Source organism: Homo sapiens, chromosome 5 (genome assembly GCF_000001405.40).
Source record: "Homo sapiens chromosome 5, GRCh38.p14 Primary Assembly".
Lineage (NCBI taxonomy): Eukaryota > Metazoa > Chordata > Mammalia > Primates > Hominidae > Homo > Homo sapiens.
This window is the reverse complement of record NC_000005.10, coordinates 127,510,718-127,537,408: the sequence shown is the minus strand read 5'-3', so window position 1 is coordinate 127,537,408 and position 26,691 is coordinate 127,510,718. Positions and strand designations below refer to the sequence as shown.

Sequence of the window (26,691 nt, the reverse complement as noted above, 5' to 3'; positions counted from 1 at the left end):
AATGTGGCCTCTTTTGGAGTTACAAATACAGACATTTTAATATTAGTCCCTACCAATGTTTTGAGAAGGAGATTTTATTTTTTAGCAATATAAGAGATCAAGAATTAGGTAGTTTAGAGACCATATTAAAATAATCATTTCAGAACTGAAGAACAATATTGTACTCTAAGAGCTTATACTAAGCAACTTGGTTCAGTGAATAGTTAAAATTTTATAATATTTTCATAAATGCTTATAGATATTATATTTGTTGAATATAAAACTATATAAAACAGTAGTCATAACTACAACTGGCTTTTCAATAAAGTTAATACTTGGCATAAAAGTTCTAGAAGCTTCCTAACTTTAATTTTGGCTGAACTGATTTACTTCCTTAAATAATTTCCTATTTTTAAAAGGTAACGTAAGTTTAGTTCAGAAAACCCATTTACTTCAAATAAAATCTGATTGGGGAGAACAAAAACAGGTTACCATTTTATACTCTAAGACTCTACATTATTTTTCTTCTCATTAGCTCCCTCTACTGTTTCTGAAAAAAAATAAAAAGCCGACAAATTTACAAATCACTTTCTTATATATTAGTTTCAATGAATTTTAGTTTTGAGCTTGAACTGAAAATTGTGGAAAATGAATTCATATTTGTAAATTTGAAGGATAAAAATCAGCAGCAAAAATAATCTGTCAAATGCTATTATAAAAAGATAAATGCAACTACAATAATTTCCATCAAATAAGGTTACCAACTTCCATATCACATTTATACAATGCTTCACAATTTACAGAAATCCCTTGTTTTAGTCTCTAATTTCAGTGAAATGTACTCACCATTTTGTCTAATAATCATTTCTACTTAGGATTTTCCTCAGTTTACTCTCTGCAACTAAATCTTGAAAAGTCTTCTTTCTCAGACCTATAAACTCTCTCCAACTTGCAAAACCTCTTGGGAAATCTTCAAATACATTCTCAATCTAAGTATGTGACTTGTTCCAGTTTTTCAAGTAAAAATCGCCCGTATGAATGCTTATGGTTTATCTTATATATATACAACTAGTTTAATGTACAATTATCATGTATACATACTTATTTTACCCATTTGCTGTATTTTTTTTTTCATTTCTAGATTAAATTCAAACCCTACAGCCGTCAGTTACCTTTGCTAAATTTTATTAAGTCCAAACACCTACCACCAAAGAAACTCTTATTGGCAATGTATACTAGGGCTCAAATTCAAGAGAAACCTACTAGAGAAAAGAAGCATTTCAAAGTGCATGTGCTTTTGGCAGCTTTGCTCTGTGTGTAAGGACAGACCACTGTGAAAAGTGAAAAGGCAGAAAACATGTAATTTAATTCATATTATATATAATGCATTACATTTAGATAGGGTATAACTACTGCCTAATAGCCCCTAATATAGAAAAGTGGTTTTGTGGTATGTGAGTATGCATATGTGTAAAAGAAAAGGGCTTCATATTCTATTTAAATAAAGTACTAAATACAACTCAAAGAACACCTCAAACTTATGTAGCACTACCTAGTAGAATTAAAAATAATCTAGTGTCAGTGTGGGTTTGTGTTTAGTGACTAATTATAATTAATGCAACAGACTTTTTCCCCAATGAAATATGCTATGTCAATTACCTCATTCTAATGCTTTACACACATCAAATGAATGCAGGTAAAGGGTCTATGTGCCTGGCTCAGGGGATGTTCTCAAAAAATGCAGGCTATTATAAGCTCCTTCAAATAAAACAACAGAATGTCATATATGAAAATGTGTTTCTCCTTAAACATAAATACAGTTGATCGATCCTATTAGTTTTGTGGATTCCATTGACTACACATGAAATTTATTTATAATCTCAAAATCGGACATGCACAGAGCTATGAGAAATTTGAGTTGCCTGATGCATACACTCCTAGCTGAGGCTGAACAAGGCAGTGCCCTGACTTCTTCTTTCAGCTGACACAATGTAAACAGGTATCCTTTTTGGGATCTATTTAGCACCTCTTTTTTGCATCTTTGTGTTTGTTGATGTTAACTGCTGTTTTCAAATGGCCCCCAAGTGTAGTGCTGGAGTGCTGTAGTGTTCCTAAGCACAAGAAGACAATGATGTGCCTTAATGAGAAAACGAGTGTGTTAAATAAGCTGCATTCAAGCATGAGTTACAGTACTGTTGACTGTGAGAGTTCAATATTAATGAATCAAAAATATGTGCATGTATGTGTATAAAAATGTATTTAAACAGAAAGAGGCATAAAACAAAGTTATGTATTGACAGGTTGGCAAAATGTGACCAGAGGCCCACAGTATCCTAACCATCGTATCTCCCCTGGGAGCAATGGCTCAGTATTCACAAATTCAGTCTGTAGCAACTTTATGGAACACAATTATGTTGAAAAACAAGAACTGTCTGTCTTACAAATAAGATTTCTTGATGGATTAGAAGTGGGTAATGAGAGAAGTCAGGGCTGACTCCAAGGTTTCTTGCCTGAGAAAACGGAAGGCTAGAACTGCCATCAATTAAGGTGAAGAAGGCTAGAGGGAGCAAGTGTGGAGGAAAGAAGTTTAGTTCTAGACATATTAAGTTTGAGATATTCAAGTAAACTTGTCAAAAAGGCAACTTATATATAAATCAAGAGTCTACAGGAAGGTCTCAGGTGGAGATATAAATTTGGAACTGTTAGCACAGAGACAGTATTTAAAGCCATGGGATAGTCTGAGAGTGAATTGATGAGAAGGTGACCGTCAGAAGACTGGAGAGAAGAGGAGGAATCAGCAAAGGAAGTACAGAAGGAGTGAGCAATACATGAAGGAGGGAAAAACTAAAGTGTGGAATCCTAGAAATCAAGTGAAAAAAGCATTAAAGAGAAGTGCATGATCAACTGTCTCAAAAGCCTCTGGTAAGTCCAATAAGATGGAGAACATTAGCACGAGCCTGAAAGCACTATCAGTAGAGTGCTGGACATCAAAGCCTAACTGAGGTAGACTTAACTGAATGTGAAAAGGATATGAGAAAAGTGCTGCCAACTCCTTGGAGTTTAGCTGCAAAAGGAAGCAAAATAGGTCATTAAGTTATAGAGGAAGGGAGGTCAAAGAATTTGTTGGGGTTTCCTTTGGTTTTTTCTTTTTTTTTCAAGGTGAGAAAGATGTTTGTATGCCAATGAACTGTTAATTTGTTCTTGCATGACTGTATGCTGGTAATAACACAAAGAGAGGAAAATAAAGTATGAAAGAGAGGACGGAATTCCTGGAACTTACATATTTTTAAGCATTATCAATAGGGATAATAAAAGCTTATGGGATTCAAGGGATATTATCATCTCAGTAATTGATTTGAATGTTAATGCTGGATTAAGAAGATCTCTTTTAGGACTAACTATTCCTTTTGTGCTCTCTCAATGTTTCTTTCCCTCCCACAATAATCAAAACCTATCTTAAATTTCTTTAAATTAAAACTCCACTATATCTTCATAATACGATAGGGCTGTCTACTAAAAGCAAAGTTCATTGTTATTTCAGTATGTAAAAGTCTATTAGCTCCATAGAGACAACAGATTATCAGAATTGTGAAAAAATTAAATGCCAGTTTCCATGTCCTGAAAATGGTGTTCTGTTACTCACTTTTAATCCAGCTGCATAGCCCACTGGTTGTGGGGCAATATTGGACTGTCCAGCTTCCCCTACAACCACAGCTAAGCCAAAGACCTCCTGGAAGGCATCTCGGACAGCAGCAACTTTTACTTCTTTATTTGAGGTCACTACAATATCCAGTTCACCTCCAGATTCTAAAAAGACCAGAGGAAAATTTAACTTTCAAATTAAAATAATGAAATTCTCATAATTACTACCATACCAGGTGCTAACATCTAATATACATAATTATTACCAGTTTCATAAAACCATGCAAGATATAGATCATTATCTTTTTTATATGCTTGAGAAAACTGAGGCCAACAAAGTTTTGCCCAAGGTAACGTATCTACTTAGCACTAATGTCAGGACTCAAAACTGACATTACATATCACAAGCCAGAAATCACATATCTGGCTTGTGAAGTGTAAGTTACATATTTAGTATACTCCACGGAAAATTAAAATAAAGACTTACTGATAGTAAGTGATTTGTCAATGAGTTGCAGAGAAGTTATGTACTAAACAAGCACTACCATGAAATATACTTTTTAACCTAGAAAATAGTTTAAATATGGGGTCATCAAGCTTTTTATTAAATATCCCCACAATGTTCTGAGCATACACCACAAATAGATATTTATCAATTATACATGTACTACTGCCCTAATATAAATATGCAAGCATATATGAAATTGAAATAACACATAAAACTTAAAATTTAAAATATTAAGAGTAATACGAAATAAAAATATTTTCAAATATTTTTAATTTTTCAATTACTTAAACAACCTAAGTACTACTATTTCTAGACAGATCAATTTGACCAAATGTTTCATTATTTTTAAAAATCTTAACCAAACATTTCTGTGATATAATGAATTCAAAGCCCTTGTTCTAAACACAGCACATTTTGATATTTGGCATTAATAGTTATCACCGGCAAAAGAGATTTTTCATGAAAATTGTTTATAATGTAAAACATTTTGCCCTAGAAACAAGGTTGTTTTTCCCTAATAAATATCATGTGGAACAGGGAAAGATATTTTCAAATATTTGGGTTTTAAAAATAATGGATCCCTTTTTCCTGACTGACATAATGTCTCACAGATCACATCTGTACTGGATACTTCAGAAGTTACTAGGACATAAAAGAGAAGAAGAATATACTTTTTTTTTCACTTTTTTCCTCCACATGGGACACATCTCTCGACCTTAGCTAAGTACTGCTCCATTAAGCTTCAGCTCAAAATGGCTTTTCAGCTTGTGATGAGTAGTCCTGCCATTTCTAATACTTTTTGAGTTTCTTGACACATACGAAATTGTTACATCAAATGATTTCTAGAATATTTGTGTAAAAATACCTTAAGATGGCCGGGCGCGGTGGTTCACGCCTGTAATCCCAGCACTTTGGGAGGCCTAGGCGGGAGGATCAAAAAGTCAAGAGATCGAGATCATCCTGGCCAACATGGTGAAACCCCATCTCTACTAAAAATACAAAAATTAGCTGGGCATGGTGGCGTGCACCTGTAGGTCCAGCTACTCAGGAGGCTGAGGTAGGAGAATCGCTTGAACTCAGGAGGCAGAGGTTGCAGTGAGCTGAGATTGCACCACTGCACTCCAGCCTGGCGGTAGAGTGAGACTCCACCTCAAAAAAAAAACAACAAAAAAAAAAACCTTAAGATTTACTTTGAGTTGTTTTGTTAGATCAGAATGGTGATGCTTTGCTGTCAGTAAAGATGTCAGCTTTCTTAAATTCGATTTTATTACTTTTTAAAGCTGATAAAGTTATGACATTTGCTAATAATAGAAATTTCATTTCTGTACCTTTCTTTTTTCCCCTTCGGTGTTACACATTTTTCTTGATGGCTCTACCTTTATCATTTACTAGCTTCTTTACCTTGTGGAAGTCACTGAGCTTGTTTCTTTGTAGAAAAATGCCTGCTATCCAGCCTGGCCAACATGGAGAAACCCCGTCTCTACCAAAAATTAGCTGGGCGTGGTGGCACACGGCTGTAGTCCCAGCTACTCAGAAGACTGAGACATAAGAATAACTTGAACCCAGGAGGCAGAGGTTGTAGTGAGCTGAGATCACGCCACTGCACTCCAGTCTGAGTGACAGAGTGAGACTCTGTCTCAAAAAAAAAAAAAAAAAAAAAAAGAAGAAGAAGAATAAAAACACCTGGCACCTCATAGGGTTTGCTCTAAGGATTAAATAAGGTAATTGCTTTCATAGTCTAACATAGTACAGCCATTAAAACAGCAAAAGCTCCAAAAATATTAATTCCTTTTTTTCCTTCATTCAAAATATGTACTTGCAAAGAAAAGAACATATATGGTGGACTCCAATTTTGAATTCTTTGGACAGTTACAAACACAAAGAACAACTCAGTTGATTTAATGCTTGATTCAATTTTCTACTACAAGGGAAGCAAAGTGGCTAAGTGTAAAAAAATTGAGCATGAGTTCAATACAGCTCCACCAAGTTGTGTGATCTAGGGTGATAACTTACATCCCTCCAAACCTAGATTCCTCGTCCAAAACTTGAGGAAAATACCTACCTTGCAGAGCTCTTATGAGAAAGTGCCTGGCAGAAGCATTCAATAAAGACACTTAACAATTGCTAGGCCTTATCTTTTGATATTTACTAGACAGTAAACTACCAACATAGTCAAGACTTGTGAAAGCTATTGGCTTTTTATTGCCACTGAAATCGCTGTTCAGGTACCTGCTGCACAATTTTGACTTAAAAGTTATCTTTTACAGAATTACTAATAATTGGTCACTAAGCCTTGTGATATTTTTTCACATATTGGATATGTACATAAAAATTAAATAGCAGACAGTATCTATCAACTGTCTGGATGATTCTGGATGATTAGTGTTCAGAGGTGGTTAAAAATAGCTTTCCCAATATACCCAGTCATTAGATATTATTAACTAGATTTGCTTCCTCCAAAAATATTATCCCTCAATTACACACAAACATTTAATTAAAATAGATAACAGGAGAAATGTAAAAAAAAAAAAAAGTATGAAACAAACATCACTTCAAATGTCAGTAGTGAATAAAGTAAAATTCATATAAAGCAATGCTAACCTATATTTAAAATTAAAATCAGCAAGTATACCAATAATTCATGGTTTTTACTCCTTCTAGGATCATTCTGTGGGATTTTCAAAATTTATTTAATGACTTTTAAAAAAGATGAATTAGTAACACCAAAAAATAAGACTGACAATTAAATTAATGCAAGAATATAATAAGAATTTCCACTGATTACACAATCAGTGGAAACGAACAGAGAATTACAATTAGTGGCTGATGTGGACATACCCTTAAAAAAAAAATGGCAGATACCGGTCTAACTTATGTACATACTGATATAGGGAGCCATGCCAGGGTCCAGCGTTGTAATCATGCTTTCTACTGAATGTTTTGTCTTATCAAGCACAGACTTCACCATAGGATTCCCAGCCACACCCTGCATAAAACAAATCAATATGTAAGTATTCACTCTAAGTGAGGAACACCATGATCTTCATGATTGTGAAGAAAACTTTTTTAAAAGTTTCCAATGCATCCTAAACCAGTACTTTTGTAAGATATATAAGGTCATGACAATATCAAATTGCTATTAAGTTTCTAAATGATACTCTCAATTTTTTTTCCTGACTCAGCAGTGTGTAGACCAGCAGCAATCTACAGATCACGCTTTGAGTAGCATGGGTATGGAAAGGATGCTATACTATATATACATATATATGTGTGTGTATATACATATATATAATTTCACTTCTACTTATTTATATAAAAGATTGGGCAAAACTTGTCCCTTAGGGTCCCAAATAAAGGTCCCAATCAGGTGTCTACGTAAGTCCATACTTGTTCCCTAATAAAAAAAATAAAAAGAGTAAAAACACCTCTCGTCTGGGGGCAGAACAGTTACTTATTACCTTAACGTACAACATTTTGCTATCTTCTACTAGTTTCTTCTTTTTCCTACTTCTTGTTTCTTGTTTTGTACATTCCCAAACTCGCCATTTATATTCAGATCTATTCCTCTGGATTCTTAGAGCCGTTACTACTAAAAGGAACCAAGTCTTGAGTATTCCTTCTTGTGCGATACTTCACAAAGGGTAAAAGACACTCCAGGGAGCAGTGCCTCCTGAGATGGCATCTGACTAACCTGCCATGATTCCCCATCTTCCAATCTGCCATTAAACTAAGGTGACTCAGGAAAAGATGAGTTCATAAAATTGAAATTTAAGACTGCCAACCAACCATATGCTGAAACATCATGACTTACTATTTACAAGACCTATAGAGTTGAACTGGGTATTACAACTCATGACAAACACACTGACACATGCTCTTAACGAGGGACAAAATGTTGTAGTCTGTATGCAAAAAAAAACTTTTTAAAAAAGTACAGAGGGGTATTAAAAAATAAACAAGCTTAGAAAAATGCCACATTCCTGAAACATGAAGCTCAAATACTACAAATCAGCCAATCATCTACCAATTTTAAATCTTTAATATAATAATAAATTATAATTATAATAATAAAATTGCAAACAAACCCTTAGCAGAATATTGGAACTTGGCAGAATGATTTCAAAATTCATTGCAAAAAAAATTGGGAAAGATGAGTAAAGAAAAATTTAAAAGAAAAATCAGCCAGCTTATACAACTTACACAACTAAATACTGATATACATTTATAAATGCAGACTTGAACTGTCCTATCTTACTTATCACTGAATGTTCCACATCCCCACCTCAGTACACGTTAGTACAATGAACACAAAGTAAAAGTAATTAAAACAGTGTGCTCTACTACAAGAACAGGGAAACAGCAGTGGACTAGAATACAGAGGCCAGAAGCTGATTTTAACACACAATTTCTTAAGGAAGATAATATAGGGATCATACCAAATCAATGGGGATATGATATTGAAATACTCCATTGAGTAGCTGGAAGAAAATTAAGTTTGATCTCTACCTCATATAGTAAAGAAATATCAACTATATTAAACGCTAAGTGTCTAAAAAATTAAACATTAAGGGAACTAGAAAGGGATCACAGAAGAACATTTATCACAGTATCGTAGTGAGAAAAGGTCTTTTTTAGCATTAAAAAAAAATGTAAAGAAAAGGAGAGGCTGCCTGCGGTGGCTCACACCTGTAATCCCAGCACTTTGGGAGGCGAGGCGGGCAGATCGCCTGAGGTCAGGAGTTCGAGACCAGCCTGGCCAACATGGTGAACCCCCGTCTCTACTAAAAATACAAAAAAATTAGCCAGGCATGGAGGCAGATGCCTGTAATCCCAGCTACTTGGGAGGCTGAGGTAGGAGAATTGCTTGAACCCAGAAGGCAGAGGTTGCAGTAAGCCAAGATCGCACCACTGCACTCCAGCCTGGGCGACAAGAGCGAGACTTTGTCTCAAAAAAGAGAAAAGAAAAGAGAAGAAAAGAAAAAAGAAAAGAAAAGACTGACAGAACTGACTCCTGAAATTGAACTTTTCTGTCAAAAAGGGTATTAAAATGAAAATGTAAACTAAAAATTGAGAAAACTGCAACATATGAGAGCATATAGAAAAGTATTCTTACTGTATTAGGAGCTCTTACAAATTCATAAGAAAAGAAAATCATCCCAATTTAAAACTAGGCAAAGAACATAACCGATATTTCACAAAAGAAGAATACAAATGGCTAAAAATCATACGAGAAAATGTTCAAATTCAGTAGCAAAGGAAAGCAAATTAAAATGTGGTATTATTTTTTGCCTGTCAAATCAGAAAATACCCTAGTCCAAATTAATAACTACTGCTGGCAAGTGAAAAATGTTATACCAGTGTATTTTGGTATAAACCTCCTGAAGTGGAATAGGTATCAATTTCTTCAAATGTTCACTCAAATGTTCATCAGGAATTAATTCGGAGGAAAAAAAGATGTCCATAAAGATTTACATACAACAGTGCTCATCATAGTTTTTTGGTTTTTTTTTTTTTTTTTTTTTGAGACAGTGTCTCACTCTGTCACTTAGACTGGAATGTAGTATCATGATCACAGCTCAAGCAGCCTGGACCTCCTGGGCTCAAACAATCCTACCACCTTAGCCTCTGAGTACATGGGACCACAGGCACACGCTACAATGCCTGGCTAATTTTTTTAAGTTTTTGGTAGAGACTGGGTCTCATTATGTTGCTCAGGCTGGTCTCATACAGAACTCCTCGACTCAAGCAATCCCCCTGCCTGGGCTTCCCAAAGTGTTAAGATTACAGGCATGAGGCACCATGCCAGACCTAATCATGATGATGATTTATTGATAAGAATTACAATTAGAAGAGATCTCTTGTACAACAGGGTGACTATAGTTAGGAACAATGTATTATATTCTTGAAATATAAGGTTTTATATTTCAAAATTTTAAGTTTTCTCACCACAAAAAAATGGTAAATATGTGAGGTATTGCATATGTTAATCAGCTCAATTTAGCCATTCCAGAATGTATACACACTTCATGTATACATCATGTTGTGCATAATAAACACATACAATTTTTGTCAATTAAAATAAATTAACTAATTTAAAAAAAATAATTACAATTAGAAAATGCCAATAGGCAGATTAGCAAAATAAAACACGGGAAATAAATGCAACAGCATGTATGGTGAAGCAGCCATAAGAGAAACCAAAATACATTTCTGAAAAAAATATTTTACGGCCAGGAAGATATCCATGATATATGCTCAGTAAAGACCAGAAAACATGAAATAGTATCCATCTGACCTGTCACTACTTCAATTTGATTTTAATTCAAAGGAACGTTTACACAGATATGCATAGGCAAGAGACTGAGAGCAGCTACAGAAAACTGCTAATAAAAAAGAATTTTATTTTTCCTTGTGCCATCCTGTATTTTCAATATTTTCTCTAATGAATATCTATTAGTTTTATAATTAGAAAATTAAACATAATTTTTAAACACGTCTTACCTTAATAAAACCCCAGATTCCACCAGCAGATGCTTCATCCTGACCTCTAGTAATTCTAGGGTCTTCTTGCTCCTCTGGGAAAGTAATGGCTGATGTGGTTCCAGTTCCCTGTGCCAGAGATGTCAAACTGGCTTGCTGAGTAATAGGAGTTGGCAAAAGACCTAATCAATGGCAAAAATTTTCATATGTATAATTTATTCCATAAACTTTTTCCTATAAAAAGGAGTGGCTCAAACAACTTTAATATTAATATTCAGGCATTTGAAGACTGAGTTATACAATCAAAGATTAACACAAACCTTTATAAAACGCAAATTAAACAGAATTTCAAAAGAAATTTATTTCCCTTTATATAGTCTTAAACCAAGTATCCTGAAAATGGACAAAAAGCGTATATCCAAAAGTTCTTCAGGTCTGTCCTATTCAGCACTTGGATATGAACGGCTGTAGTTCAGGTCTCTTTAATCCATAAAATTAATTGAGCACTGAAGTTCATCACAAAAAAGCACACAATTATTACACATACTCTATATACTTCATGTTAACTCAGAAAGAAAATTCACATATACATAGACATGAATATAGTACTTGCACTCTGCAATAATTTTCATTTGTAAAGGTAGACAGGGAAAGATAGATAATAAAAAGCACAGCAAAGCTACTGCTTTTCCCTAAAATGAGAAACAACAGGCAGAGGATGACAAGGACGAAGTTTTGATAACTCATTTGCAACAATTATTCCAAAGAAACAAAACAAGTAGATTTAACTGACCTAGGGAAAGGAAATGACCCAGTATCACAAACTTTTGGCATACATGAGGTTTTATTTGTTTCTGACTTTTTACCTGGCTAAAAAAACACTACTCCCTGGAACAGTCAGTCCTGATAATTTTTTCAGTAAAACTTAAAAAAACTCAGACTTCACCTTTAAATTTCTCTATAAATGCACAAATATTAGGACAAAATTTTGGAATTTTCTGACATCCCATATACTAATCATCTACTGAGTTGTATATCACATAAAAAAATCATATACTAAATTATACCAGCCTTATTTTAATAATTTAAATGGCAAAAATGTGAAATAGGTAACTCTGGAAACCAAAGAAATGAATAAAGAGAAGAACATTAATGCAGAGAAAGTGGGACCCCGCCCACTGCTAATAAGAAGGTAAAATGGTACACCTGCTTTAGAAAACAGTTTGGTGTAGAATTACCATGTAAATCAGCAATTCCATGCCTAGGTAGACACCCAAGAAAAATAAAAACATGTCCATATAAAAACCTGTAAACAAATATTTATAGCAGCATTATCTAAATAGCCAAAAAGTGGAAAACAACCCAACATTAACTGATTAATTGAATAAATGAAATGTGGTATACATATTCATAAACTGGAATATTATTCAGCCATGAAAAGGAATGAAGTACTGACAAATGCTACAACATGGATGAACCTTGAAAATATTTAAGTTAAATATTTAAGTGAAAATATTTAAGTGAAAGTTGCCAGTCACAAAAGACCACGTATTATATGATTCCATCTATATGAAATGACCAGGATAAGCAAATCCATATACATAGAAAGTAGATTAGTAGTTGCCTAGAGCTGTGAGGATTTGGGGGACAGTAGGGGCTGACTGCTAAAAGGTATAGGGTTTCTTTCTTAAAGTGATGAAAAGGTTATAAAATTGCGACAAGGGATGCACAATTCTGATGTAAACTAACTATGGAACTGTATGCTTTGAATTGGGTGAATTGTAGAGTACATAAATTATATCTCAACAAAGCTATTATTTTAAAAAAGAATAAAACATTAATTAATAGCCATGTATTTCAAAGTATCAGAAAGAATTACCTGTTCCTGAAGGTGCAGAAAATGATGGCATCAGGGGTGTCTGGGGAGCTCTCCCAGCATGTCCCCTTGTAATGTCATAAGTTGAACCAACAGAAAATCCTGATATAGGAGGACCCGAAGGGGGTGCAGGTAAAAGAGTGTTTGGGGCAGAAGTTGAAGGTGGGAAGTGAGATACAGGAGGATTACCGAAGGCAGCAGCAGTTGATGGAGAAACAGGAGGTGGCATAGAAGTAACAAGTGGTGGGACAGAAGGAACTGCAGGAGGAGGCACAAAAGGTAATGGTGCTGAAGGCCTCACAGGAGGAAGGGGCGGCTGAGGAGTAGAGTATGCGAGTGGTGGGAAGGACTCCATGGAGGATACATTTGGAGAAGAAAAAGAACTGGTTGCCGCTAGAAAAAAGTGGAGAGGATAAAAGCACAGAATTAGAAATGTTTTTTATTTAGTTTTCAAACTGTCTAATTACTTTCTTCTTGCAAAATTTTTAACTTACCAAAGCATATCCCAAGAATTATTTTAAAATGTGTAATTTAAAATATACAACAAATATAATTGAGTGTAAATGACTTTCAACTCCCATAAGTAAAAGAAGCAGCTGTATGAACCTATGGCATTGTTCATTTTTGCTTTTTGGTTTGTTTTGGTGTATTTTTAATAAAATAAAGCGATTTTTCATCCCTAGTTTGAGCATAAAAACCTATGCCCTGAAGGCTCAGAAAGGTTAATCACCACAAAGTCATAGAGCAGTAGGCCGAGCGCAGTGGCTCACACCTGTAATCCCAGGACTTTGGGAGGCTGAGGCAGGTGGATCACCTGAGGTCAGGAGTTTGAGACCAGCCTGGCCAAAATTGTGAAATCCCATTTCTACTAAAAATACAAAAATTAGCTGAGCATGGTGGTGAGTGCTGTAATTGCAGCTACTTGGGAGGCTGAGGCAGGAGAATCACTTGAACCTGGGAGGCGGAGGTTGCAGTGAGATGAGATCGCACCACTGCACTCCAGCCTGGGTGACAAGTGAAACTCCGTCTCAAAAAAAAGAAAAAGAACAGAAGACAAAGCTAACACATGCTTTTTAGGATATTTCTGCCATAATATAAATGATGGTAAAATTATGAACATAAAGAACAAAAGTCCACCTAAAGCAAAACACTGATGTTTTCTTACTTTAAATACACAAGACTTTCTTTCTATTCTTTAAATTAAAAAGGCTATTTCCTTTCATCCTGAAAAATAATAGAGAAGTTTTAATATATGCATTCTTTTCTTAATTGACTCTGAGAAAAGATGATAGTATCTTCACTATTCTCAAAACACACGAGATGTTAGACAACTACATGTACCTAATGGAACAGGGGTAGAAGACATAGCAGTAGCAGCCAGCCCTGCAGGATTTGGTGGAGGAGTCCCAGGTGGTGTTGTCTCTATTCCACTCTCTTCCATCATTTTTCTTCAATTATGGTATACTATAAAAACACAAAAATGTAACAAATATTACACAGTAACCAAAAGTATATTTTTAAAGCTTGAATAGAGAACGACTAAAAAAAAAATCATCAAGAGATAGATGTCCACCTTTACTGTTTATAATGCAACTTATTTCCAGACGAAGAGTTTGTCCAAATTTCTAAGAAAGCAATCTATGAGAATATTTAATATCAAACAATCTGTAACATTCCCATGTAGATACTTTATAAGTGGGAAATAATTTCATGTTATAATAACAATATAACTAATTATCTACTACATTTCAAATAGTAAATTACTAATTTGATTTCTGCCACATGAATGCATGTTAGAGATAGTTATGTCTGGGCCAGGTGTGGTGTCCCATGCCTATAATCCCAGCACTCTGGGAGGCCAAGACGGGAAGCATTTGAGGCTAGGAGTTGTAGACAAGCCTGGGCAACATAGCAAGATCTCATTTCTAAAAAATAAAATAAGTAAATAATATAAATTTCAGTCATTATTAAATTTAAAATAAAAATGAGGCTGGGCACAGTGGCTCACGTCTGAAATCCCAGGACTTTGGGAGGCTGTGATGAGAAGATGCCTTGAACCCAGGAGTTCAAGGTTGCAGTGAGCTATGACTGCACCACTGCACTCCAGCCTGCGTGACAGAGCAAGATCTCTAAAAATAAATAAATAAAATATTTAATGTATTTTTGAAGCCCTTCCTCTTCTCTCATAAAGTACTGTGTATAAGATAACCCCATTAACATAAAAAAAAAATAAAGCCAGGCACAGTGGCTGACCGCTGTAAACCTACACTTTGGGAGGTAGAGGTGGGAGGATCCCTTGAGACCAGGAGTTTGAGACCAGCCTGGGCACCATAGGAAGACTCCATCTCTACAAAAAAATTAAAAAATTAGCCAGGCAGGGTGACATGTGCCTATGGTCCCAGCAACTCAGGATGCTGAGGTGAGAGGATCACCTGATCCCAGGAGGTTGAGGCTGCAGGGAGCAGTGAGAATGCCACTGTACTCCAGCCTGGGCAACAAAGCAGGACCTTGTCTCAATAAAATAAAATAAAATGTGCTTCACTTGATAAAAGCATTAATTCACAATTTTCCTAGTTCACATTTTAAAGCATATCCAGTAACAGATAAATTGTATATCTGAGGTTTTAGAAAAGTTAACTATAGCAAAAATGCCATTAGATAGCAGCATCCTAATAGACAACAATGGATTATAAAATATGAGAAAACTTTCTTTAAAATTACAAATCCTGAAGTGTATCTCAAGTACAGAACCAACTTCTAAATATGCTATATTTGTTTTTAATATTTTTATTCATTTAATAAGTTTTTAGCGAAGGTCAACTGCTTGACGAGCACTATACTGATGCCTTTGGAAATGACAATGATTAGCAAAAACAAATAGGATACTTACAGTCTAGTACACGAAACAATCAAATAATAAACCAATTTACAATGAATGGTAGCTGAATTATGTGCTCTGAGGGTAAGAACACAGTTTTGTTTGACAGGAATATGATTTTGACTTGGAGGTAAGGAAAGGGTTCCCCAAATAAGTCACAGATAAACCGAGATTTGAAGGATAAGAACTTAATTAGGCAAGGGAAGAAAGGCAGAGTCCAGAAAAAGTGAATATATAGCAAATATATATACCAACTGAGCTGGGAAGAACAAGATACATTCAATAAAATCCATGTGAAGGGAGAGAAAGAAGAATCAGGACTGGAGGGACAGACAGAAGCCCAGAAGGTGTTCAGCCTCATAAACCAGGTTAAAAAACTTGGGTTTTTAAAGAACAGAGTGTCACTGTGTTAGAAATAAATTTTCGGTGCCACAAAAGAAATAGCACTCGAACATAAATTTAATTTTCTCAGCAAGGCAATTTTACTTCTATAGAAGGGTGTGTCTCACAGATGGAGCAATGTCAAGAGCACACCTGAACAAGGGAGGGGAAGGGGTTCTTATCCTAACGCAGCTAGTCCCTACTGCTGTGTCTTTCCCCCATTGGCTAGGGTTGGACCACGCAGTCTAAGCTAATTCCAACTGGCTATTTTAAAGAGAGCAGGGGTATGAGCCAGAGCAGCAGGGTGAGTAGTTTGGCGGGAAGGACGGTTACAGAACAGGTGATCCAGGATGACTAAGAACAGAGCAGATGACCAAGGATTACTAAGGTCAGAGCAGGTGACCAAGGGTGACTAAGGTCAGAGCAGTTGATAGAGGCTAGAAGGGGATTGTTTACTGAAACTGGGGGCAAGGAGAAATAAAGAACTAGGAATTTAAACTTTAAAATGAAGAACAAAGAACAGGGGAGCTGAACATACTGATACACTGGTTCTTTGGAGAGGATCTCAGAACTCATTGTACTTAACAATTTACAGGCTAAAATCTATGAAGAGAAATTTATCATATCCTACAACTGTAAGGCATTCAAGCTGAGGGTAGCATAACTGTCTTTTGTTTTAACTGTTTTGAAGGAATTTTAGGTTCAAAAAAAAAATGTAGAAACAGCAGAGTTCTTGAGTACCCCAAACCCAGCTTCTCTCAGTAACAGCATCTTACATAACTACACTACAATGATCAAAACCATGAAACTGACATTGGTACAACACTATTAACTATAGATCTTATTTGTATTTCACATGTTTTTACATTTACTGTGTGTGTGTATGTGCATAGTTCTATGAAGCTTCATCATATGCACAATCTCGTATAACCACCACCTCGACCAGGACATAGAACCATTCCATCACTAAAAAGAAACTTCCTCATGTTGTTCCTTTATCTACCTTCCCGTCAACCATAAGCCCTGGCAAACACTGCTCTGTTTTCTATCACTTTCTCGTTCCATGAATGTTACATAAATCGAATCATACAGCATATAACCTTTTGAAGTTGGCTTTTTTTCATTCAACATAATGTTCTTGAGATTCATCCAAGCTGCTGCATATATCAAATTGGTTCCTTTTTATTGCTGAATAGTATTCCATTGTATAAATGTACCTGCTGAAGGACATTTAGGCTGATTCCAGTTATTAGCAATTCATATTTATTTTTTGAAAAGATCTGAACAAAGTATGCAGCCTGGGCCACTGGGCAGACAGAGCAGATGCAGACAGGCCATTAAGGAAGATATAGAAGTAGTTCCATCAGAAGTAAGTAACAACCTAGACTAATGATTTTCATAGTGGGAAGGGCTGATTATGCCCCCAAGGGGTCACTTGGCAATGTCCAAGACATTTTTTATTGTCACTACTAGAGGGCTACTACTGGCATATAGCATGAAGAGGTTAGGAATACTACTAAAAATCCTCCAATGCACAGCCTACACACAAGAATTAAGTGGCCCCAAATTTCAATAGTGCCAAAGTTGAAAAACTCTGACCTAGACTCAAGTGATGATAGTGGAGATGGAGAAAAGTAAATAAGTTCAAGACAAGATTAGGTGGCAAAATTCAGTGACTGGGTATGGAGGAAGGGAAAGGAGGCATGACTTGCACAACTAGATAGATGGTGGTGCCATGCACAAAGATAGGAAACACTGCAGAAGGCCAATGTGTTTGATGTTCTTTCTGGGGGAGTCGGATGGGGGAAATCATAAAATGTTTAGTCTTTGACATGCTGTTTAAGTTCCTTGAAACAAACATCTAAGTAGAGACACTGACTTGGTCTGGAGCTTAGCAACCACATAAATGTGGGTGTCATCAGTGTACTGATAGTCTAACGTCATGTTTTGAGATGAGATTACGTAAGAGAATACCAAGAGAAAAGAGAATATGATGTTAAACCAATTATTGGTTTAGTAAGATGGAAGACAAGTTTGCAGAGAATAAGAGATGAGCTAAAAGAAAGGAAGAAAACCAGGAGACTGTGGTGTCCAAAAGCCAGAGTTTCGCAGTATGAATGGGCAACAGTATTAATGCTGCAGAGAAGCCAAATAGGATACTATCTGAGAAGTTCAATGGATCTGCCAAACTGGAGATGAATTTAGGGAGAACGGTTTTCATATAAAGAGTGGAGAAAGATTCCAGTGTAAACTGAATCGAGCAGTGGCAGGTGAGACTAACACGCATGACACTTTCAAAAAGTTTGGCTGTGAACGTAGGAAAGATCTATGGCACTAAGCAGAGAACAGGGATCCGGGGAGGCTGAATCCTTTCATTCAGTACCTATACATCGAAGGTAAATAACCTGAGATAGAAATGCCCCTTTGGAGATTTTACCACTCCTCAACCAAAGCTCCCTCTTTTCTTCATTTAATTTTTTATTGGTCATTCACCCTCTACTACAGATGCTCCCCAATCCTTACAATGACTAGTAGAAGTCCTATTGTAAGAGAATCCCTAACATTAACAAATGTGTCTGCAAAAGAAACTGTACAATGAATACAAAGTCATTAAGTGGAATAAATAATCAATTTCTTTGTCTTTAATGGCTTTTTATATGAAAACTGCCGTAATGGCAATACTGAGGTAAATTTTACATGCATAAACATAGTGCCTTCTACTAAAAAAACCTATTATGATAAAACAATACTGAAGTGTCAGAGTTGGTAACTGTTTTAGGGCTCAAGTCTTGTCACGAAAAGTACTATTCATATATCAACACTAAAGAAAAAGTGAAGAAAATGGTTTGGAAAACTGAGTTCTCAGTCCGGCTAGACCCTGTTGTTCCAATTTGCTTGTGCCTTGGTTTTTCTGTTAAAAAAAAAAAAAAAAAGTGGATGTCTATTTACAAGTTTACAAGAAATGGAAGAGTGAAGCTCTGATAAACTTTAAAGCATTAAGAGCAATTATTGCTGACCTACTCGTGCCACAAGATTGTCTCTACTACCAAACAGTGAGCGCTAGTTAGAGCCTAATCTGACCCCGAAATAAAATTTTATAAATTTTCACTGAATTAAACACTGGCTGCACAGGAGAAAGACTGAATGCCAAGATGTGTCACGATCGCAGAAATGCACATGTTGTCTCTCAAAATAACTACTTCGAATGACAAAAACACTATTGGCTATAAATTCTGTCAATCTAGGAAACGTGCTATCTGCAAATTTGCCTGAAGCAGGTCCCAAGACCAAACAAAGAAACGAGAGAATGCAAAAACTCTCCCAAGCGGCGCTAAGCACCGATGGGGTAACCTCAGGGAAAATAAGCTTCCTTTCATTGCAGGTCCTGGTGTGATGACTCTCGAGCCTCCTGGGCCTCTCCAGGGCCAGAGCGGCCGAAATCCTGTTTCAGGAGACAGCGGCTTCCCCTCAGGCTCTGCCACGTCTCCAGGCCAGACAGGGCCGGGCTAAGGTCCGCCGGCGCTCCCGCCAGTCTCCCCTAAAGTCAGCGCCCTGGAAGGTGGGGCCAGAGCGCTCCTGCCTTGGTCCTTGGACAGGAGCAAAGTGTCGCGGGGCGAGACCCTCGAACCGCGCCCACCGTGCCATCCCCAGCGGAAACTGCTCACCTTGCGATGTGCACTCCTGCCTGCTGCACCCCGCACGCCGCCACAGCTGAGCCTGGACCACGGGACTAGGGGGCTCGCAAACGACATCGGCGTCCAGTGGCGCCGGCCGGCCCGCCCACCTTCCAGGGACACCGTCCCTCGGGGTCTGGCTCTGGCGCCTGCAAGCCATGCCATGCCATGCCACCCCCCTCATACACGCCCCTCGGAGCCACCTGGCGCTCACCTGGGGACCGGGAAAGTGCCTGCGTGGTCGCTGAAGAGTGTGGTATGATAGGGAGGTCGGGACGTAGAACTACAGCTTGGAGAAGACAACGAAGGCGCACCCTGGAAGTTACCTCGGCGTGTCCCCGCCTACAAGATGGCCACGGGCGGCGCATGCTCCTGCGGCTGCCACGTCGGCCGCGCGCCGCACCGCGCCGCGCGTCGCCGCCCCGCCCCGCTCCGCCCCGCATCGCATCGCCCCGCTCCGCCTCCGCATCGCCCCGCCCCCCCTGTCCCATGCGCTGTGAACCCGGCCGGGACGCTGCAAGTTAAACTTTGGAGCCAAGATCTTCCTAACTACCGAGACTTGGTTCTGCCCACACCCTCTAGAAACATCTTCCAAAGGGCTGGCCTCCTTTCTACTTCGCAGCCCCCTTACACGAGAGTGGCACTCTTGTTACCAGGCGTAGCTCACTCATCCTGTGCCACAGCGGCCCAAGGGATAAGATCAGTTAGCCAAGGTCATCTGGTTGGCGGTCATCTAGCCAACATCAGCTAGTCCAGTCAGCACCTCCAGGAAGGACCTCGCGGCAGATACAGGGGACTTAGCCTGTATAGTCAAAGATTTCCAGATAACAGTGATTATATCAGGAGAGAGGGATTAGGAGAAGAGGGAGAGGGGAGAAGAGTAGCAGTTACTGTACTGAATTTTTCCCCAAGTGCATGTATTGCACATTCTTTTTTTAATTGTAAAATAGACAGATTATCAACTTTCTTATTATATGCTGCACCTAACACAGTACCTGAAATAGTTGGTGTTCAATAATGTACATTAAATAAATTAATGGAGTGCGATAGAGGAAAATAAGGAACTTCAAATCAGAAGTCTTGATTTGAGTCTGAGACTACTCTAATGCCAGTTGTACAGTTGCCTGCCCTTGTACAGGTCACTTAGTCTCCATAAGTCTTCATATTTCTACCTGCAAACTGAGAATAATACTATCCACCATCCCTAAATCAGGCAGGTGACAGACTCAAATAAAATAGAGCATATGAAAATTTTTTAAACTTTTTGTCTTTTTGAGATGGTGTCTTGCCCTGTTGCCCAGGCTGGAGTGCAATGGCGCCATCTCGGCTCACTGCAACCTCTGCCTCCCGGGTTCAAACGATTCTCCTGCCTCAGCCTCCCGAGTAGCTGGGATTACAGGCACAGGCCACCACACCCAGCTAATTTTTGTACTTTTAGTAGAGACAGGGTTTCACCATTTTGGCCAGGCTGGTCTCGAACTCCTGACCTCGGCCCGCCTCGGCCTCCTAAAGTGCTGGGATTACAGGCGTGAGCCACCGCACCTGTCCGAAAACATTTTTTAAATTGCTTAGCATTAAATATATAAAAAATTGTTTTTGTTGTTCTCAATTTTTTTTCAGGAACTCACTTAGAGATTTCACATTAATCTATCTCTTGAGCTTCACAGTTGTAAGCATTCCAAAATACCTCACTGAAAAGTTAATACTATGTAGCAATACTCTGACTTCAGATCTCACTGTGCAACTACCATGGGCGGTTTTCTTTGGCGGTGGCTCCTATCCTCTAAGAATGTGTGTAGGTGGAGATCCAGGTTACTGTCCGGATCGTGCTGTTTGGGGTGGTGCTAAAGACAGATAACCATCTTCATCCTCTCTGATCAACACCCTTAATAGCTATAAGGTATGTTGGTTTCTCCATCCTTTCAGCAAATATTTATTAGTGGCTGCAATGTGCTGAGCATTGGTACTGGAAATGCAGTAACGAACAAGACAGACAAGGTCTTGATACCTAGGGAGCGTTCTTTATAATAGGAGAGAGGGTAGGAACAGGAAAATAAAGTAAGTACTGTTTGTGATGTGCAGTTTGAGGAGTCAACAAAGAGTGATGTAATATTGACAGTAATTGGAGTAGACCACTTCAGATAGGATGAATGGGCAAGGCTTCTCTGAATAGGTGAGATGTGAGCAGAGACGTGTAATGCAGCAGGCCTGTGCTTATCCGGACAGAAAGAAGGGCATGCAAAGACTTAAGGATGGAGTGTGCTCGGCATGTGCGCAGACAACAGGGAAGCAGGACTGTGAGAATGGTAAAGAAGACAGGACAGGGAGTGGGGCCAGATCGTGTCTAGCCTTGTAGGTCATGGGAAAGCCTTTGATTACACTCTGAGAGAAATGAGAAGCACGTGGAGGGTTTTGAGCAGAGAACTGACAATATTTGATATCAATTTCTGATCACACTCTGATTGCTGTGTGACTGCAGTCCATGTGAGGATGAGTGCAGGATGACCAGTAATGAGATGATGATGGCTTAGTGTCCCTAATGGAGGTGGAGGTGGCACACGGTCTGGATGTATTTTGAAGATGGAGCTGTCATGATTTACTGATGGGTTGGGAGTAAGCTGCATTAGTTTCCTAAGATTATCATAACAAATTACTGCAACTAATGTTTTCGTTGGCTAAAAACAACAGAAATTGATTCCTTCACAGTTCTGGGGGCTAGATGTCCAAAATCAAGGTGTCAGCAGGGCCTCTCCAAAGGCTCGAGTGGAGAATCCTTCCTTGCCCCTTCTAGCTTCTGGTGGCTCCAGGTGTTCTTTGGCCTGTGCCAGCATACCTCCAATCTCTGCCTCTGTGCCAGCACACCTCCAATCTCTGCCTCTGTCTCCACATGGCCTTCCCCCCCATGTCTCTGTGTCTCAAATCTCCTTCTGCCTTTCTCTTATAAGCATACTTCCTTATAAGTGCATACTCATTCCGCTAAGGCCCCACCCTAAATCCAGAATGATATCATCTCAATATATTTGTAGGTCTTATGAAGATCCTGTTTCCAAATAAGTTCACAGTAACAAGTTCCAGGTGGGCATATCTTTTTTGGGGGGTGGGCACTATTCAACCCACTACATGGACAATGAGGTAAGATGAGCTTTGAAGTTAACCTTGATTTACATTTACTATATTTTATGTTTTACTTACCACTTTTCATTTGAACTTCAAAAGAACTATGTGTGGCAGGTATTATTATTCCAGTATTAGAAACGTGGAAACTAAGGCTATGAAAATGGTGCATAGAGCTGGAGATGGAACCTAGAATCCTTAGGCTGTACCTCAACTGCTTGCCTGCTTTGTGGGTGGTAAGGTGAGAAGATTTCTTCTTAGATGGCAGACAATGAAGGGAGTCAATGGAAAATTATGGGAGAACGAAGAGCTGCTTGGTTTGTTATTTTTTCAGTCATTGCTAACAACTCATCAAATTCTTCCTTATAGGAATTCTCTAACATGATAGAATTCATTTGTGAGCTATAGTGAGTGAGCAAGTGCCATGGTGGAATTTTGCTTTACTTGCTCATGAACATAGGCAAACAAAAAAACTCTTTCCTATTTGAGTGGAGCTTTTTTTTCTAGCCCAAATCGGGTTTATTAGGTCTATTCTTAAATACTCTTGGTTTTTTTGTTTTTGTTTTGTTTTGTTTTGTTTTGTTTTTGAGATGGAGTCTTGCTCTGTTGCCAGGCTGAAGTGCAGTGGCGCTGTCGGCTCACTGCAACTTCCGCCTCCCGGGTTCAAGCAATTCTCCTGCCTCAGCCTCCAGAGTAACTGGGACTACAGGCTCCCGCCACCACACCCAGCTAATTTTTGTATTTTTAGTAGAGTTGGGGTTTCACCATGTTGGCCAGGGTGGTCTCGATCTCTTGACCTCGTGTTCCGCCCGCCTTGGCCTCCCAAAGTGCTGGGATTACAGGCTGAGCCACTGCACCCGGCCTATTCTTAAATATTCTTAAGATAGTCCTTAATGTTCATAATATTCATATGAATATGCAAACATTCAAAAATATTCATATGAATATTTCCAGGCAGATCAGAGATGAGGCTGAGACTAGGTATCTGTAACATAACCAGGAGTAGAGGCAGAGCTGATTCTGGCTTGAGAAATGATGGGCTCTGCTGGGAGACCAGGCTCTGAGAACAGGCTGTGAGTTATACAACCAAAAAGAACACTTCAGCAGGTAATGCCAAGGGTACTGGCTGAGACACAGAGATCAGAAGCCCACACCCACATTCAGCACTCAACCACACCGAGGATAAGTAAGCTCCTTTGGCAACCAGGAAAAAGGAGGAGCCTTGTCTCAAACGTTGCATAGGACACACTTGTTCTAAAAAAAGAAATTATTGTTCATTTAAAATTCAAATTTAGGAGGCAAGTGAGCTGAAGCTTAGAGTGTGAGAGGCAATGTAGCATGGACTGGGACAGCTGGCACCAAAAATCCTGGATTGGAATCTTGGCTCTGCTCGGTCACCAGCTGACCTTGGATCTTTCACTTAAAACAGTCTCTCCATTAACACCTATAAAGTGGAGCAAATAGTCATATTAATACCTACCTCATAGTTTTTGTATGAAGATTAAATGACTTAATAGGTGTGGAGTGCTTAGCACAGTGCCTAACTCACAGTGTTAGCTCTTATTCTTTGAGTTTAAAATTGCCTAAATATTCATCTTCATCTCATAATAACTATTTTAAGCCAAAAGGACCTTTATTTGGCTGAGTCTGAATTGTAACTTCCAAATCAAGGTTTGTTTGCTTGTTTGCTTTCAACTAAAGGATATGTAATAAGATATAGTGGGACCCTACCTCTCAATTTGTCTGGGACACTCCCACTTTAGGGTTGTTGTCCCAGCGTGATTTTTTAAAGTACCCACCTCTTATTCTAAAAAATGTTCCAATTTGGACAGTAGAATTTATGGGTTATCCTATTACAGAGATATCAAGAAGTCACTCATTTTTACACGAGTTCAGTGTGAAAATTTCAATACCTGTCCTTTGCCCCCACACACAATCATCACTGGAGTCTGTTTTAATTTTCCTTAAAGAAGAGCAAACTCAGCCTGTGTCCCACTTGTTCGTGGCCTATAGCTTGGTGTGTCCCTTTAATACAAGTGGAAACTGAACAGCCAGAAGAAAGCTTCCCTAACACTGAAACCAATGGTGAATTTGGTAAATGCCCTGCAGAAGATATGGAAGAGGAACAAGCATTGAAAAGATCTAGAAACACTGATGAGATGGTTGAGTTACACATTCTGCTTCAGAACAAGAATTCTGGGGCAGTTATTGGAGAAGGAGGTAAGAATATTAAGGCTCCCTGTATAGACTACAGTGCCAGTGTTTCAGTCCCAGACAGCAGTGGCCCCAAGTGCATACTGAGTATCAGTGCTGGTATTGAAACAATTGGAGAAATTCTAAAGAAAATCATCCCTACCTTGGAAGAGGGCCTCCAGTTGCCATTACTCACTCCAACCAGCCAGCTCCTGCTGGAATCTGATGCTGTGGAATGCTTAAATTACCAACACTATAAAGGAAGAGACTTTGAGTGCGAGTTGAAGCTGTTGATTTATCAGAGTCTAGCAGGAGGAATATTGGGGTCAAAGGTGCTAAAATCAAAGAACTTTGAGAGAACGCTCAAACAACCATCAAGCTTTTCTAGGAATGCTGTTCTCATCCCACTGACAGAGTTGTTCTTATTGGAGGAAAACCCAATAGGGTTGTAGAGTGCATAAAGATCATCCTTGATCTTATATCTGAGTCTCCCATCAAAGGACCTGCACAGCCTTATGATCCCAGTTTTTACAATGAAACCTATGATTATGGTGGTTTTACAATGATGTTTGATGACCGCCCTGGATGCCCAGTGGGATTTCCAATGTGGGGAAGAGGTGGTTTTGACAGAATGCCTCCTGGTTGGAGTGGGCGTCCCATGCCTCCATCTAGAAGAGATATGAACCCTCATCGAGGACCACCTCCTCCTCTTACTGGACGAGGTGGCCGGGGTGGTAGCAGAGCTCGGAATCTTCCTCTTCCTCCACCACCACCACCTAGAGGGGAAGACCTAATGGCCTATGACAGAAGAGGGAGACCTGGAGACTGTTACGATGGCATGGTTGGTTTCAGTCCTGATGAAACTTGGAACTCTGCAATAGATACATGGAGCCCATCGGAATGGCAGATGGCTTATGAACCACAGGGTGGCTCCGGATATGATTATTCCTATGCAGGGATTGGTGGCTCATATGGTGATCTTGGTGGACCTATTACTACTGCACAAGTAACTATTCCCAAAGATTTGACTGGATCTATTATTGGCAAAGGTGGTCAGCGGATTAAACAAATCGGTCATGAGTTGGGAGCTTCAATCAAAATTGATGAGCCTTTAGAAGGATCCGAAGATCAGATCACTATCATTACAGGAACACAGGACCAGATACAGAATGCACAATATTTGCTGCAGAACAATGTGTAGCAGTATTCTGGAAAGTTTTTCTAAGACTAGTGAAGAACTGGAGGAGTCCTGCATCTTTTTTTTTTATTTGCTTCTGTTTAAAAAGCCAACATTCCTCTGCTTTGTAGGTGTTCTGCATTTGAAGTGTAGTGAAATCTTTGCTGTTCACCAGATGTAATGTTTTAGTTCCTTACAAATAGGGTTGTGGGGGAAGGGCGTGCAAAAACTAACATTGAAATTTTGAAACAGCAGCAGAGTGAGTGGATTTTATTTTTTGTTATTGTTGATGGTTTAAAAAAAATTCCCCCCATGTAATTATTGCGAACACCTTGCTTTGTGGTCACTGTAACATTTGGGGGGTGGGACAGGGAGGAAAAGTAACAATAGTCCATATGTCCCTGGCATCTGTTCAGAGCAGTGTGCAGAATATAATGCTCTTTTTAAAGAAACATTTTATGATTTTTAAAATAAATTTAGTGAACCTATTTTTTGTGGTCATTTTTTTTAAGACAGTCATTTTAAAATGGTGGCTGAATTTCTCCACCCCCAAACTAAACACTAAGTTTGATTTTCAGCTCCTCTGTTGGATATGTAAGTGCATCTCTTCTTGGACATAGGCAAAATAACTCGGCAAACTTAGTTCTGGTGATTTCTTGATGGTTTGAAAGCCTATTTCTGGGAAGAAATTCCAACATACATATTCATGCTTATAAAAAGCTGGGCATTTTTTGTTTGTTTTTGCAAATGCTTGCCCCTGCTTTTCAACAATTTTATATGTTAGTGGTT

The 26,691-nt window shown here is 38.4% G+C and overlaps 1 protein-coding gene and 1 pseudogene across 2 annotated transcripts in view, besides 2 other annotated features; one reads left to right on the top strand and one right to left on the bottom strand.

The window, feature by feature from the left end:
- The window catches only part of PRRC1 (proline rich coiled-coil 1), a 37,446-nt gene extending 17,677 nt beyond the window's left edge, over positions 1–19,769 (bottom strand). For both annotated transcript variants that reach the window (NM_130809.5, NM_001286808.2), the window contains exons 1-6: positions 19,633–19,769; positions 13,827–13,949; positions 12,489–12,878; positions 10,631–10,791; positions 7,013–7,115; positions 3,623–3,786 (exon numbers count right to left, since the gene is read on the bottom strand). In NM_130809.5, coding sequence (NP_570721.1) covers positions 3,623–3,786; positions 7,013–7,115; positions 10,631–10,791; positions 12,489–12,878; positions 13,827–13,929 — 921 coding nt within the window. In that variant the 5' untranslated portion in view covers positions 13,930–13,949; positions 19,633–19,769. The remainder of the gene's footprint in view (positions 1–3,622; positions 3,787–7,012; positions 7,116–10,630; positions 10,792–12,488; positions 12,879–13,826; positions 13,950–19,632) is intronic.
- Positions 19,592–19,771: an enhancer, noted in NCBI's record as "active region_23034". NCBI's record gives its function as "activates an Ori minimal core promoter by ATAC-STARR-seq in GM12878 lymphoblastoid cells {active_cell/tissue: GM12878}" and the evidence as "EXISTENCE:reporter gene assay evidence [ECO:0000049][PMID:35858748]".
- Positions 19,832–19,901: a silencer, noted in NCBI's record as "silent region_16293". NCBI's record gives its function as "represses an Ori minimal core promoter by ATAC-STARR-seq in GM12878 lymphoblastoid cells {active_cell/tissue: GM12878}" and the evidence as "EXISTENCE:reporter gene assay evidence [ECO:0000049][PMID:35858748]".
- Positions 24,547–26,147, top strand: HNRNPKP1 (heterogeneous nuclear ribonucleoprotein K pseudogene 1; annotated as a pseudogene).
- Positions 26,148–26,691: the final 544 nt, after the last annotated feature.